The following is a 14,797-nucleotide window of genomic DNA, read 5'->3' as shown; positions in this document are numbered from 1 at the left end:
TCTTTGCCTGGTGGCTCATTTCTTTCTGTTCCCCCCGTGCTGGTATTTCAGCAGGATATTTGGATGAGGCAGAGATCTACACATGTATTTTATTTCCCCTGCTATCCATCATTCCTTTCTGCCAGTGGAATGGAAAGACCCCTGCTAAGCCTCCTGTTGGAGCAAGTGTGACCTGGAGTTAATGTTCACATAGCCAACAATGATTTTGTTGTCACTGCTGTAAAAACCACACATAAAACTAGGAAGACAATTTTGGTTTTGCCATTTTCTCAAAGGAAAGAGATTTATACACCTGTCCCCTTTAATCCTATTTGATAAATGTCACTATCGACATGTTACAAATGTGCCAGCTAAACTTTGCGTAAGATAACTTAACGAGGTTGCTAAGTGGGGAAGCACACTTTGTCCCAGGTCTCTTTGAACGCAGAGACCATTCTGACACTGCATCGCACATCCCCCTTAAGGACCTCAAACTAACCTTAGTTACCTAGTTTGGAGAGGTTGTCTGGAATATGTTGTGATTTAATAAATTTGCATGAAAATATAATTGCTGTGATACATTAAAGTATTAGGTGGCATCGCACTAATGATTTCAAAACTTTCCATGCACTTTTAATATAAAAACTCATAGCTCGGTCATTTTTAGACTGTTTCCTTGTGTTGTTTGGGCATGTGGTGGTGGCAGCCAGGTGTGGAGGGGCAGAAGGAAGAAGCAAAGTGGAGTAGGAAGTGTGAGAATGTGCATGTAATCTACGCCTATGCAGCACATCCAGGCACGCCAGCTTCAACTCGCTTCATCATGAGAGACCAAAAATAAACATAATGAAATAGAGGACATTCTCGCGCCTCAAAAAATTGAACTATCTTAAAAGGTATGTATATATTAGAAATATTTACAAGTGAATTTCTTGGCAGAGGCAAGACAAATGTGATGCCATAATTCAGTAGATGAGAGTTAAGAATCCTTGCAGAACTGAGCATTGCACCCTCTAAAAATTGGATTTACTTGCTTGGATATTCCATCAGTGCCTCCCCATCAAATCTATGATATCCCAAATGGTGTGACAAAAATGATGCCTCTTTTTCTAATGAGTTTCTTATGTTTTTCTCCTCTGTTTCCCCGCTAATGTTCTTTTCTCATCAGCAAGGGCAAGACATTTGTTCTTTAAAATAAATTTGAATTGAAATTACAGAAGAAGAGTGGGTGGTAAATGCCTGGCAAGGTAAATAATTTGATGAGACACAAAAATAACGAAATGTCAGCCAACTTCACTGGAGCTTGAAGGTTTAACTCTATAGGAAGTTTCAGAGAAAGAAAAATTGGCGCCAATAAGTTAAAATTGCAAGATTAATCCTCATCAAAGCAAAAAGTGGGATGATTTACTGATGAAAACTTTCATATTGAAAGCCAGTTACATCAATAATTCCTTTCACTATAACAACTAGAATCTAGATAGTAATTCATTTTTGTCATCGTCGTTTTTGCTTTTATTTTCAATGTGTAAAGAATGTGTAGAGGGAGTTCACTCCATACAGGATCAGGCTCATGATGGAACCGTCTACCCTGCCTCTCAGCCCTCAGCCTACATTGCTATTCCACCTACCCTGTTTATCCTTAACCTAGAAAGCAAGAAAGACCATGGAGGTGCTTGACTAGAAGCTCTTATTTGCTTCTATAATGCTCATTGGCTTCTTTGCTTTGCTTTCTTATTTTCACAACAATGTATGTTTGATCTCAAAGACTTATCTAAGAGTATTAATACATTTCACCGTCATTGAATAACATACTGAGTGAATATTTTGACACTGCAAATAACTTTACATTAGTTATTTGACTTGATTTAATAGTCAAAATTACTTACTTTAGGAATATTGTTATTGCCTCCAGTTTACTTTTGAGAAATGTGAGTCACAAAAAGTAAAACAACGTACTCAAGGTCACACCGCTGAGAAGTGTGTTAGGTAAGTCAGTCTGAATATTAATTGCTAAGTTGGATCAGCAACAGTAGAATTTTTTAGTAGAGTCCATTAACTTAAAATTCACTAATCGTGACCTTTACAAAATGCCAGCTCAAGAATCCATCAAACTCTATTTAAAATGTCCATAATGTAATGAGCTTAATTAGGAATAAATTAGTCACACTTGGAATAAACTGTTTCTTTCAGGAAAGACCTACATGGTAGCCTGAAGAAAGTTAGTACTACCTCAGAATTGGGCCTTCCAGAAAATATGCAACATTGCCCAGTTCACATCAGCAGAGTCTACAGAACTCTATGTCCAAAAGACTAAAATGTGTCTCCTGACCCAAATTTATATCTGCCTTTGTTTGCCATATGTCTCATCAGCATATAGACAGATTGGCGTTACTTATATTGCCAAAGGCACAGATAAACATGCTGTAAGCAGTTAATAATAATGAATTTATTCACAAGGTGTTTTATATAGAGAAAAATGGTTTTTAAATTCAGCAGAAAATGTTACATCTGCTTTTAGGCATTCCTTTCTGAATTGATCTTATTTTAAGGAGGACTAGACTTTAGTGGGGGCGGAGAGAAGCACATCAAAAACTGATTCCTTTAATATAGATTTAGTTAATGAGACAAACAAAGAAAATAAGCAAAACAAATTTAAAAAGTCAATATTCCTTAATCAGATAGGCCTAAGGAAAATGCAATGGCCAATTTAATATATTGTATTGCTTACCACTTAAATATTCAAAACATCTACAAATAATAGTGGCTACTCTGGGAACACTTATTGTATGTCATGCACTATGAGAGCTTTATTCAGATAATTTAATTTTATTTTCACCCTCTTGGAAACTGTTACAAACATTTATCTGTAGGATTGATACACTATTTGGGGATGTAGATAGCACTCTCCGCTTATACTATGGAAAAGGTTAGGATACAAACAGGATAAATGACAAGTTTTAGAGAAGGCTTACTATGTCTGTCTACAATTAAATGTGCCAATTTAAATGAAAATCTGGCATAAAGATACTGAGATGGCCACAAAGGGTGGTCCCCACAGCTGAACTGTGAGTGCAATAGATCAGGCAGAATGGGTGTGGCTCCCTGCCATTCACATCTCCATGCAGGTCCAAACAGCGCCTTCTAATTTACAAGGATAATGAAATACATCAAATTGATGTTATTCACTGATAGGAACCATTAATTAACTGACAGAATACCATGGCCTTATTCTTGCCAGACTTGTTCTATTAAAATCAAATCAGAGCAAAATGTATCTAGGCAAAAAACCTTAAATATATTTTGCCCTCACTTTCCCCAATTTTGAATGAAAAACGTGTGGTTTTCAGTAAGGAGCTTCTAGGCTCATGCAGTTTAGAGATAAATTTATGCACCTTGTGATTAACTGACTAAGCATAATTAACCTAATTAGAAATATTATTTTGCCTGTCTTTATTACTCCTGTTCTAGAACAGGCACAAAAATAAATGCCTAAAAGACCAAGCCTTGGTTAGAGTCATGTCATGTCTCCAGCAAGATGCTTCACAAAACAAAAACAATCAAGAAATATTAAACACAATGAGTACTAATAAACATTTTTTATCTTCATTGTTTGTAATGTGATTTCGATGTAAGGAAGTTCTCAACTCCTGCAAGTAAATGAAAACACATAAAACAGAGATTGCTATTTTGTTAGGATAACAAATATGTTGTATTATTTGCCATTTAAATAGTCAAAACATCTATAAATAATAGAGGCTCTTATTTGGGAGCACTTACTAATGGCCATGCACTGTGAGAGTTTTATCTATATTATTTCACTTTATTTTCACCATCCCCTAATAAGGCAGGAGTTAATGCTTCATTTTATAGGTGAGAAAAATGAGACCTTAAGAGATCAACTATTTTGCCCAAGGTCAAACAACTAGTAAGTGATGGGCCCTGATACTGATCATAGCTATCTGAGCTCAAAACCTGTCTTCTTGATGACACTATTATACTTCCTCTTATCAAGTGTTTGACTCCTGGTAAATCTATGAGTTACTGTTTATTTGTGTTGCTATAAAGGAACACCTGGGGCTGGGTAATTTATAAAGAAAAGAGGTTTATTTGGCTCATGGTTCTGCAGACTATACAAGCACAGCACCAGCATGGCCTCCGCTTCTGGGGAGGCCTCAGGAAGTTTGTAGTTATGGTGGAAGGCAGAGGGGAGACAGGGAAGTGAAGAGAGGGAAAGTGACAGTGGGGGAGAGAGAGAGAGAAAGAAGAAGGAGGAGGAGTAGGGGAAGGGGAAGGAGAAGGGGAAGGAGAAGAGGAAGGAGAAGGAGAAGGGGAAGAGGAAGGAGAAGGAGGAGGAGAAGGGGAAGGGGAAGGAGAAGGGGAAGGAGAAGAGGGAGGAGAAGAGGAAGGGGAAGGAGAAGGGGAAGGAGAAGAGGAAGGAGAAGGAGAAGGAGAAGGGGAAGAGGAAGGAGAAGGAGAAGGGGAAGGGGAAGGAGAAGGGGAAGGAGAAGAGGAAGGAGAAGGAGAAGGGGAAGGGGAAGGGGAAGGGAAAGAGGAGGAGGAGAAGGAGAAGGAGCAGGAGGAGGAAGAGGAGGAGCCAGGCTCTTTTAAACAACCAGCTCTCCAGCGAAAGTAACTGTGCGAGAACTCACTCATCACCAAGGGGATGGCGCCAAGCCATTCGTGAGTGGTCCCTCCCCATGATCCAACACCTCCCAATAGGCCCCATCTCAAACATCACTGGATCACATTTCAACGTGATATTTGGAGGGGACACACATTTAAACCATTTCAGCTACATCATCAAGTATTAACCCTCTGGACAATACAATACCATTGTCCTTTTAAGTATTTAAAGCCAGTTTCAGACTACCTCCATAAAATGTGCTGCATAAATAATAGGGTATGCGTCTGGATTTCTAGGTGAGACATCTTGAAGCTCTTCCTTCTCATGCTGGAAAGGCTGTCAGAAAGTTCAAGTCCTCCTCTTGACATAGTACATGCCTATTTGCTCATTGGGATAGGCTAACCTTTTCAAGCAATGTGCGGCACCCCTTAGCTTCAATAAAGTGTTCAATGTAAGAAGAATATGCTCTGTATCCATAATAAAATCACCACAAATCAAAAAAATGACCAAGTTGCATTCCCTAGTCTAATTCTTAATCCTTGGAGTCTGTCTCTTTTTGCATCAAAAATCCAGGCAATGACATGCTAGGATCCCCACCAATTAGATAGTGTTGCTTGATCAAGACGTATTTTCTCCTGATTTAAATGCTAAAAAGATTGGAACAGTGTATGTCACCATGACTGCATTTATTGTCTTTGTTCAATATAATCTTGATGAACAATACATCAGTTGATGAAATGGCCTGAACTCATCTTTAATTGTTGCTGCCTTTTATTTTATTCAACATTTAGTGTGTAGATCTATAGCATCATTTAAAATTGTTTATCAATGGTTTAGCAAACATACTGTACAAAAGCAATATGGAAAACACTGGAAACAAGTATTAAGAGTCTTCCTGCTCAGGTTTATAGAGATTAAGGAATGATTCAGAGAAAAAATAAGATAGATTGAAAAAAGGGAGGATTTTTTAAAGTAGCACAGTGAAATAATAATGTTTTTGAAATTATAATACCATGGACTAGCGGGCGGTTGCAGGAGAAGGGTAAAACTGTTTCAGAAGTTATTATGTCGAGTATAAATTTACTGATAAACAGCTATAACAGCAGAAATAACAAATATATTAATATGTCCATTAAATGCTTATTTGCCAATCAATTTCTTCTATTTATTGTGATACACGATCACTATAAACATTTTTCAAGAGAGGAAAATAAGTCTAATAATTTAATTAATTTTTCTTGAATCATGCAGCCAAATATGTGCTGGGGCCAAATTCAAATTCAGATCTGTCTATCCGCAGGGTTCAGGCTTTTAACCATTAAGCATAGTTTAAAAAAATAAAGTCTGCAGTCCCCAAGTTTACAGCAGAACTAGAGATACAACCTTTGAACACAGGTACCCCTATTTGGCATCCATTTCAACAGAACCGCATTTTCTTCATCTCCCAAAGCAGACAAGAAGAAATCCTAAGAGTTTTCTGCAAGTTAACTATCAATTCAAATTGCCTAAAACACTCATAGAGGCATTGATTGGAATCTGTTTGAAGTGTGAAGTTCTGAAAGAAGGAAAATGTAAATTCCTATTGAACCGAGACTAAATCATTTTGGTAAAAAGATTGTATTTTAAGAAGTACATTTTGTGAAAACAGAAAGTAAGTTGGCTATTTTCTGAAACAAAAAGAAAACATTGTTAATTACTTTTTATTCATGGGAAATCTCTAACGCTAACAGCGAATAGAAGGATCTTGACATTAGGTGGCCAATAAAAATTCTGTGATTAGAAAAGAGTCTACTAGAGGTATCAAGAAATGTTTAAATATATTAATTAATGTGTTAATTTTTTATATCTAGTTTGTCTTATTTTTAAAACAAATACAAAATAATGATCTCACATGTAACTTCTCAAATTTTCTATCTCACATATTTTCTTTTCAAAAGAAAATAGCATTCTACCTTCATTGCTTATTAATTTTGAGGGAAAATATTTCAATAATGACTTTTGGATAAAATGAAAATATGTCACATTAATTGTAGACAACTATTTTAAGATGCATCTGATTCCCACCACACACAAAAAAATGATAAACGTTTGAGTTGATAGACATGCCAATTACCCTAATTTGATCATTACACAATGCATACATATATTGAAACATCACATTGTACTGCATAAATATGTATAATTACTATGTATCAGTTAAAAATAATTTTTAAAAGTAAAATTATTTTAAAAGTAGTGTTTTAGATTTAGGACTTCATAATGGTCATGTTATTTATTTTAAACTGTTTTCATTATTCTGTTAAATTATTTAGAAGACACACTGAGTCTTTAGAATTTTAAAAGTATTGTGATATTGTCTTCCTTGGCTGTTAATTAATTCATACTAGTTAAACCCATAGGAGCAACTCATTGGTAACTTGAGCTGTTTTTTTAAAGATGTTAAGGTGAAATAATTGCTGTTCCAGTGCCCCTATTCAATTATTTTGTACTATGAATATCTATTCTTCATTTAGGAAAATTAAAGAATTAGTTCCATCATTAGTGATAGTGGAGCACTCTGAAGGGAAGAGCTTGGTCCCTTTAAATGATTGGGAACTGGGAAGTGAAGTGCTGGGTAGGAAAGGCGGGTCCCTGGCTAGGGCTCCACCCCCACGGACCTAGGTGAGGACAGGCATTTCCTGCCCAAATGTTCCATTTCCCAAGACCACCCTGGCCTGCCACGTCCCATCCTGTGTCTATAAAAGCCCCGAGACCCTAGCAGGGAGACACAGAAGTGGCTGGATGTCCTGAGGAACACGTTGGAGGTTAACACACAAGCGGCTGTTAGTTGAGAGCTTGCGGGCAGAAAAGCACAACAGCTGGCACCGGCAGGCTGGCAGGCCATCCACCTGTGGGATGAGATGGAGTTTGGCCAGGGCAGTGGGAGGAAAGTTGGGGCCACTGAGCTGCCCAGCTCCAGAAGAAAACCATCTCCCTTTTGGCATCCACATTGGCTGAGGCTGAGAGCTACTTCCACTCAATAAAACTTTGCACTTCAAGCCCACGTGTGATCTGATTCTTCTGGTACACCAAGGCAAGAAATCCCGGGATACAGAAAAACCTCCGTCCTTGTGATAAGGAACGGGGTCTAATTGAGCTGGTTAACACAAGCCACCTATAAACTGCAAACTAAGAGAGCACCTGTAACACAGCCACTGGGGCTGCAAGAGCTGTAAACTATTCACCCCTAGACACTGTCAGGGGAGTTGGAGCCCCCAGCCTGCCCGTCTGTGTGCTTCCCCTAGAGGGCTGAGCAGCGGGTCACTGAAGAAGCAAACCACACCCCCATCGCACGCCCTGCCAGGGGGCAAGGCAATCTTTCCCGTTTCATGAGCAATGTGACTCATTACTAGAAATCAAACCATACAAGCTATACTTTCTATTTCATGATCTATACAAAATATAACTTGTTTTGTACTATTTACATGTCTCACTTTATGAAGACCTGTGTTATTTCAGAATAAAATTTCTTTAGCTACCAAACTAAAAAAAAAAGGATTTCAGAATACAATTTCTTTAGCCACCATAACTAAAAAAAAAAAAAAAAAAAAAGAATTAAAAAGTGTTCAAATTACCTCATTCCAGCTCCATAGATCACAGTTTCCAAAGAAGAATTATTGATTTGAAATTCCTACTCAAGAACCTGCCAAATTCTACCACTTTAATGGGCTTACCCTTGTCGCCTACATATCTTATATCACCAGGTCAAAAAGACAGCATCAATACTTCAACAATGGAAATAGTAATCACAGATTCATAACTCATCTGAATAACAATATAGACTCATATGAAAGATAATTGTGACTCAAATTACATTCTGTGTCCAATAAAACAAAAATGTTTGTTATAGAGTAGGATTTCCAGATAAGCGTTAGTTATCTGGCTGTCTCTACTGTGTGTTAGACAGATCTGTACTTGAAAATTTCATTCTCTGTCTCTACAGTTCCAAATACTGGACTCAGTGCTATTTCCTTTAAATTAATCAGGTTAACCAGACCAAAGGATACCAGTAAAAATAAAAACAACACTGCCTTAGAAATATTTTTTCAGGGATAAAATGTAAAGTAGCTAGGCAGTAGAGAAACTGACACAAAAAATAAATGTGTGCTGCCTGAAAGAAGTCAAAAGAGAAAGACTTTAACTTCCACGTTATGATAATAAAACACTGAAGTAGTGTATATAGTTTTTTCCTTCCCATTTGGAATCTTAACATTGTATTATGTTTAAAAAGTAGTCAATTGTAGTACAAAAGATAATGAAGAAGCTGGTTATCTTTTTATTCCCCACTGTAAATAACAATAAAGTTTGGCAAAATATATGAAAAAAAAAAACCCTGTTTTCAGGCATTAGAAAGCAAGCATCATAGAGCTGGGATCCTGGATAGAAGCATGTTTACAAGTGAGTACCATGTGCACGCCGGCTTTCAGCCTGGGAGCGTTTCTAAATGCAATGCAGGGAAGGGGGAGCTGAAGCAGTGAGCTCCATTCCTGATCTTCTGATACTGAAGCAGTTAGAACTTGACAGGCAGAACTCCAGAGAAGTGGAAAATGCATGGATGTCCCAGAAATCTGCCAAAGGGCTACTCAGATGTCCTAGGCTCAATGCTACATTGCTCATTGTCAGAGAGACTTCATGATGCCCAACATAGGTCAACTCTTGCTCAGCTGAGACCTGAGCATAGATCTCACCTTGGTGACCACCCCAAACATTCGTTCTAGTCACCAGAAGGAAGAACCATGCTCTGGTAGTATGAACAATGCCTTAAATTTAAGAGTAAAAGTGAAATGTGTTCACTCTATAATGCTTAAAACTAAGCTTCATAGTACAATGATTTATATCCTTTGGGTATATACCCAGTAATGGAATTGCTGGGTCAAATGGTATTTCTGGTTCTAGATCCTTGAGGAATCACCACACTGTCTTCCACAATGGTTGAACTAATTTACACTCCCACCAACAGTGTAAAAGCATTCCTATTTCTCCACATTCTCTCTAGCATCTGTTGTTTCCTGACTTTTTAATGATCACCATTCTAACTGGCATGATGCAGCACTATTCACAATAGCAAAGACTTGGAACCAACCCAAATGCCCATCAACGATAGACTGGATAAAGAAAATGTGGCATACATACACCATGGAACACTATGCAGCCATAAAAAAGAATGAGTTCATGTCCTTTGCAGGGACATGGATGAAGCTGGAAACCATCATTCTCAGCAAAATAACACAGGAACAGAAAAACAAACACCGCATGTTCTCACTCATAAGTGGGAGGTGAACAACGAGAACACACGGACACAGGGAGGGGAACATCACACACAGGGGCCTGTCGTGGGGTGGGGGGAAAGGAGAGGGATAGCATTAGGAGAAGTACCTAATGTAGACGATGGGTTGATGGTGCAGCAAACCACCATGGCACATGTATATCTATGTAACAAACCTGCATGTTCTGCACTTGTATCCCAGAACTTAAAGTATAATAAAAATTTAAAAAGAAAACTAGCTTCAATAGGGTCATAGTAATTTGCTAGGAATTTGACTGTCTGCTTAAATAAAACTCAACACTCTATTCAGGAAAATAACATAATACAGAGTCTCTGCATAGTGTCATTCACTGTGTTCAGGATATAATTTTTAAAAATTATGACTTGTGAAAAAGTTTTAAAATATGACAAGATTAAAAGAAAAATCTGTTAATAGAAGTATATCAGATATTGGAATTATCAAACAAGGACTTTTAAATAACTATAAATTTTAAAGACCAATATTAGAGGAAAATACAGACTATATGGGTGAACATGATGGAAACTATAGAATAGAAATGTAAACTCTAAAGAAAGAACAGAATAGATATTATAGAATTTTAAAAAGGTAAAATATCTGTTATGGAAAATTTACTCGATAAGGCTACCAGCAGACCAAACACAGAAAAACTCATCACTTAAACCACAACCTGATAATATTCATTTTATTTATTTATTTAGATATAAGCTCCGTGAAATCAGAGTCCTTGTCTGTTTTGCTCACTGCCATATCTTTAGTGGATAGAAGGTTTCTAGCACTTTTTGGTGCTTGATTAAATGTTGCTGAATGAAGCAATGAAAGAAGACACTTAAAGATGTAGAGAATAGTTTAAAAAGTAAGTTGTCCTATGTCCAAGCAACACTCAAGAGAGACTATAAAGTGCAATATGGAAATGATCACACAGTGATGATGGTAACACTACATTTTTATTCTGGAATAAAACTAGAACTGTAAATTTCAATCTACAAAATAATCTGAGGTCATTAAGAATCAGTTAAATATATGTCTGTTTTATATGGCCAATTACAGAATAACCTCATTATAATTTTATAGAACACGGTCTTAGTCCATTTTCTGTTGCTAAAACAGAATACCAGAGACTGGGTAAATTTTTTTAAAATGAAATTTATTTCTTATAGTTCTGGAGGCTGGGAAGTCTAAGAGCATGGTATTGGCATCTGGTGAGGGCCTTCTTGCTATGTCATAAAATGACAGAAGGCATTACGTGTTGAGAGGGTAAGAGCATATGTGTCAGCTCAAATCTCTCTTCATTTTCTTATAAAGTCACCAGTCCCTTCATGAGTCCCCAACCCCATGCAATTTGGGGGACACATTCAAACCATAGCAAATAACCCACGATGCACATGCACCTGCACACACACACATACAAACACACACACATGTAATACCTACTTCCATCTGAAGAACTAGTTAAAAATTGTTTTGGAATAAGCTGAAATACTTTATTCATTTATATTAAATAATAATAATAATTAAGAAATGGGACATGAAGCTAGTGACAACCCTATCTTGGCTATTTTATTACTTTTCCTATCACAGTTGTGGTAAGAATGTTCTCTGATAAGACATTTGGACATGTATATGTAAATATTAAATTACATCGTTTCCTCTACAGTACTGTTTTGTTAATAATAAATATGAGAGTCCTACAATATTATTTCCCAAATATATTACAAACTTCTAGACACTGTATCACTCTGATACATGAAATCTTACAGTGTTTTCCCTCCACAAAATAATTAAAAATAAATAAAGATCGAACTCCATGTCATTTAATCTAAAATACTTTAAAATATTTCTTGTTATGGGCTTAATTGTGTCTCCTCCAAAAATTCATATGTTGAAGTCCCAAACCTCAATCAGTCTGAATACAACTGTATTTGGAGATATGGTCTTCAAAGAGCTGATAAATTTAAAATAAGTGCATGAGAGTGAGGCCCCAATCCAATAAGATGGGTGTCCTTATAAGAAGAGGAAGAGACACCAGGGATGTGTACAGAGAAAAGGCTGGGTGAGGGCACAGCAAGAAGGCAGCCATCCACAAGCCAAAGAGAGAGGCTTCAGGAAAAACCAAACCTGCAGGCACATTGATTTGGAATTGTAGGTCCCAGAACTTTGAGAAATAATTGTCTGTGTTTAAGCCACCCAGGCTGTGGTAGCTTGTTATGGCAGCCCTAGCAAATTAAAACATTGCTGTTACCCACCTCTCATCTTATTTAGACTGTACACACTAGCAATTGTAAACTACTTGTGGTTCCTTATGCACATTATGCTTCTATACCTATGTCTACTGGTTCTTCTCTGGGATTCCATTTCCCTCTACCTTGTTATAGTCAATGAAATTTTATTCACAATATCAGTATCACATCCTGCTAAGGCTTTCCTAATATAGAAATAGTCAATCTCTGTGCCAATGCCACACTGTTTTAATCAAATGTCTATTGTGAATTGAAACTAAACTAGTATCCAATTATTTGTTGACTCCTCTTGCAGAAAATAAATAACACAACTGGTGCTTTAAAAAATTCAAATAAATGCTGTAGAAAACAAAAATTGAGAAACATTCCCAAAGGCAGAGGCAAAGAACATATTTATTACTAATCATGAAAGTTCAACTTGCAATTAATAAGAAAATTGAGTAAAATCAATAATCATGAAATTGGTAATAAAATTTTATTGTTTTTTCTTGCAACAAGTAAGCTGATAAAGGACATATGTTCAGTATATACTGCTGAGCTTTTTGAATTCTAAAAAGATTAGGAAAGTTACTGTCACTGATACAAACAAACAAACAAAAACAACAAAACCCCCAAAGTTTCTTAAACATTCCACTTCAGAAAACGATAAGGGAATATTGCAAAACTGAGAGAGAAATACAATCATCCAAGAATGTAGAGACAGTCAAGTTATAATTCTTATAAGAAAATAACAGAAAGACCTCTCTTACATACAAAATCTCAGACATTGTATCATCCATCAGCTTTATTTGGGAAAAATAGGAAGGCATTGTTCACATCATGGAAAATTTTCAATCAAAATTATCACTCAAAATGGAGATGTTGAATTAAAAAGCAGTGGCAGTATTAATATCAGAAAATATTTAGTGTACTTGAGTAATAAATATAAATATGGTTGAAAATAATATGCATTTGTATATTGGTATGGTAAGAGACAGCTATAAATGTTTATGTTTCTATACCGAGTTAAGATTGTATGTTTTACCAAGGTAGAATACATAAACTCTTTAATTCATTTTAATCATACATGGACTTAATAGTTATTATCATTGCTTTCTTCTTATTTACTACCTGTTCTGCTAAAATGAATATTTCTGTAACATGAATTTATTCATTCAAAAATAGCAAATAGTGGCAACCAAGTTCAGTATACCAACATTACTGAATGCAACCAGCTGTATATGAATTTTGTACACAATGTCTTTTTACCCTGGCTCAATGGGGACATTTGCTCTGTTTTGGAAGTAAAGTGTGCTTTGAGCTATTCTCTACAGACTTTCCAAAGTATTCCCTTGTCCCAAAACTCAGTAGCTTGAACCCTCCTTCCATCACTTCTACCATGCTTCTTCTTTTCTTTTTGTCTTTATTTTCCCTTAAATATTTTCTTATGAAAAGTTTCAAATACATATGAAAGTACGTAGTGCACTTTAATGAAATCCCACGTGCCCATCACCTCCCTTCAGTGGTTATCAAAGCATGGCCAATTTTGCTTCATTTATGTCCTCACCAATTTCCCTTGACCATCAATTATCATAAAACCAACCCCAAGCATCATGTAATTACATCCATGATTAATTTAATTTTAATCTCTGAAAGAAAAATGCATATTTTAAACAAATTTAATATTATTCAACATAAAAAAATGACAATTTGATCATCAAATACCCAATAAATGACCAAATTTCCCCAATTATTTCACAATTATTTTAATTAGCATAATTAATCAAGATCCACACAAGGATCATACAGGACATTTGGCTAATTTTTTTTCTTGATATTATCCAAGGTATTTTAGTCTAAAGTTTCTCTTTTCTTTTTACTTAATCCTTCCGTTTTCTTTTTACTTAGTCCTTAGAAATTATTAGTCAAAGAAACCAGGTCATTTGTTCTATGCATGTTCCCAAATTTGGACTTTGCTGATTGTACCCTCAAGAAGTTAACATGTTCTCGGTCTCCTGTATTTTCTATATGTTATTCGGTATATCTAGAGTCTATAATAATCTTGAATAGTGTATGTGTAATGTCTGATTCTCTCTCTCTCTCTATGATACACTTTTAAATTTACTATGACACAGAAGAATTAAAAATTACTGTGTATTTCTCTTCCTCATGGTCTTAAGATGTCATTTCATCTGTTATAGGGTATTGTTTAGGCTTGTTATTGTTTTTGTTTGATACTGCCTGTTTACAAGGCTGCATATATTTCCAGAGGTCTAGTTCCAACCCTATTTTTCACAAGCCCTGCTCGTTTCAGTGTCTTTCAGAAATGTACCTAACATGTTTGAGAAGCATTATATTTAATTTTTAATGAGAGGATCGAAAAAATAACTATCGGGCACTAAGCTTAGTACCCAGGTGACAAAATAATCTGTACACCAAACCCCTGTGACACGAGTTCACCTATATAACAAACCTACACATGTACCCCTGAACCTAAAATAAAAGTTAAAATAATCTAAACAATGAACATTGCTCTAGTCATTGGAAAACTTAAAGCATGTATGCTTATTTTAAGTTAAATTTGCTATCTTGTTTCATGCTATTTGCTTTTAAGCTTTTAATGCTGTACATTTGACATATATGTTTTTGCTATA

General features: G+C 36.1%; 1 long non-coding RNA gene across 3 annotated transcripts in view, besides 1 other annotated feature; it reads left to right on the top strand.

Annotated features, from left to right (window-relative positions):
* LOC105378066 (uncharacterized) overlaps nt 1–5,061 on the top strand; it is a 122,515-nt gene extending 117,454 nt beyond the window's left edge. The window contains exons 6-8 of one of the 3 annotated variants that reach the window (NR_187983.1): nt 686–872; nt 1,889–1,962; nt 4,897–5,061. This is a non-coding gene — a long non-coding RNA (uncharacterized LOC105378066). Of the gene's footprint in view, nt 1–685; nt 873–1,867; nt 1,963–4,896 lie in introns of all 3 variants that reach the window. The other 2 variants (NR_187984.1, NR_187985.1) reach the window with 2 other exon arrangements.
* Nucleotides 7,902–7,991: a silencer, noted in NCBI's record as "silent region_17696". NCBI's record gives its function as "represses an Ori minimal core promoter by ATAC-STARR-seq in GM12878 lymphoblastoid cells {active_cell/tissue: GM12878}" and the evidence as "EXISTENCE:reporter gene assay evidence [ECO:0000049][PMID:35858748]".

The sequence above is a fragment of the Homo sapiens genome, chromosome 6, assembly GCF_000001405.40.
Source record: "Homo sapiens chromosome 6, GRCh38.p14 Primary Assembly".
Classification (NCBI taxonomy): domain Eukaryota; kingdom Metazoa; phylum Chordata; class Mammalia; order Primates; family Hominidae; genus Homo; species Homo sapiens.
Note: the sequence above shows the minus strand (reverse complement) of the source record. Positions and strands in the feature narration are given on the sequence as shown.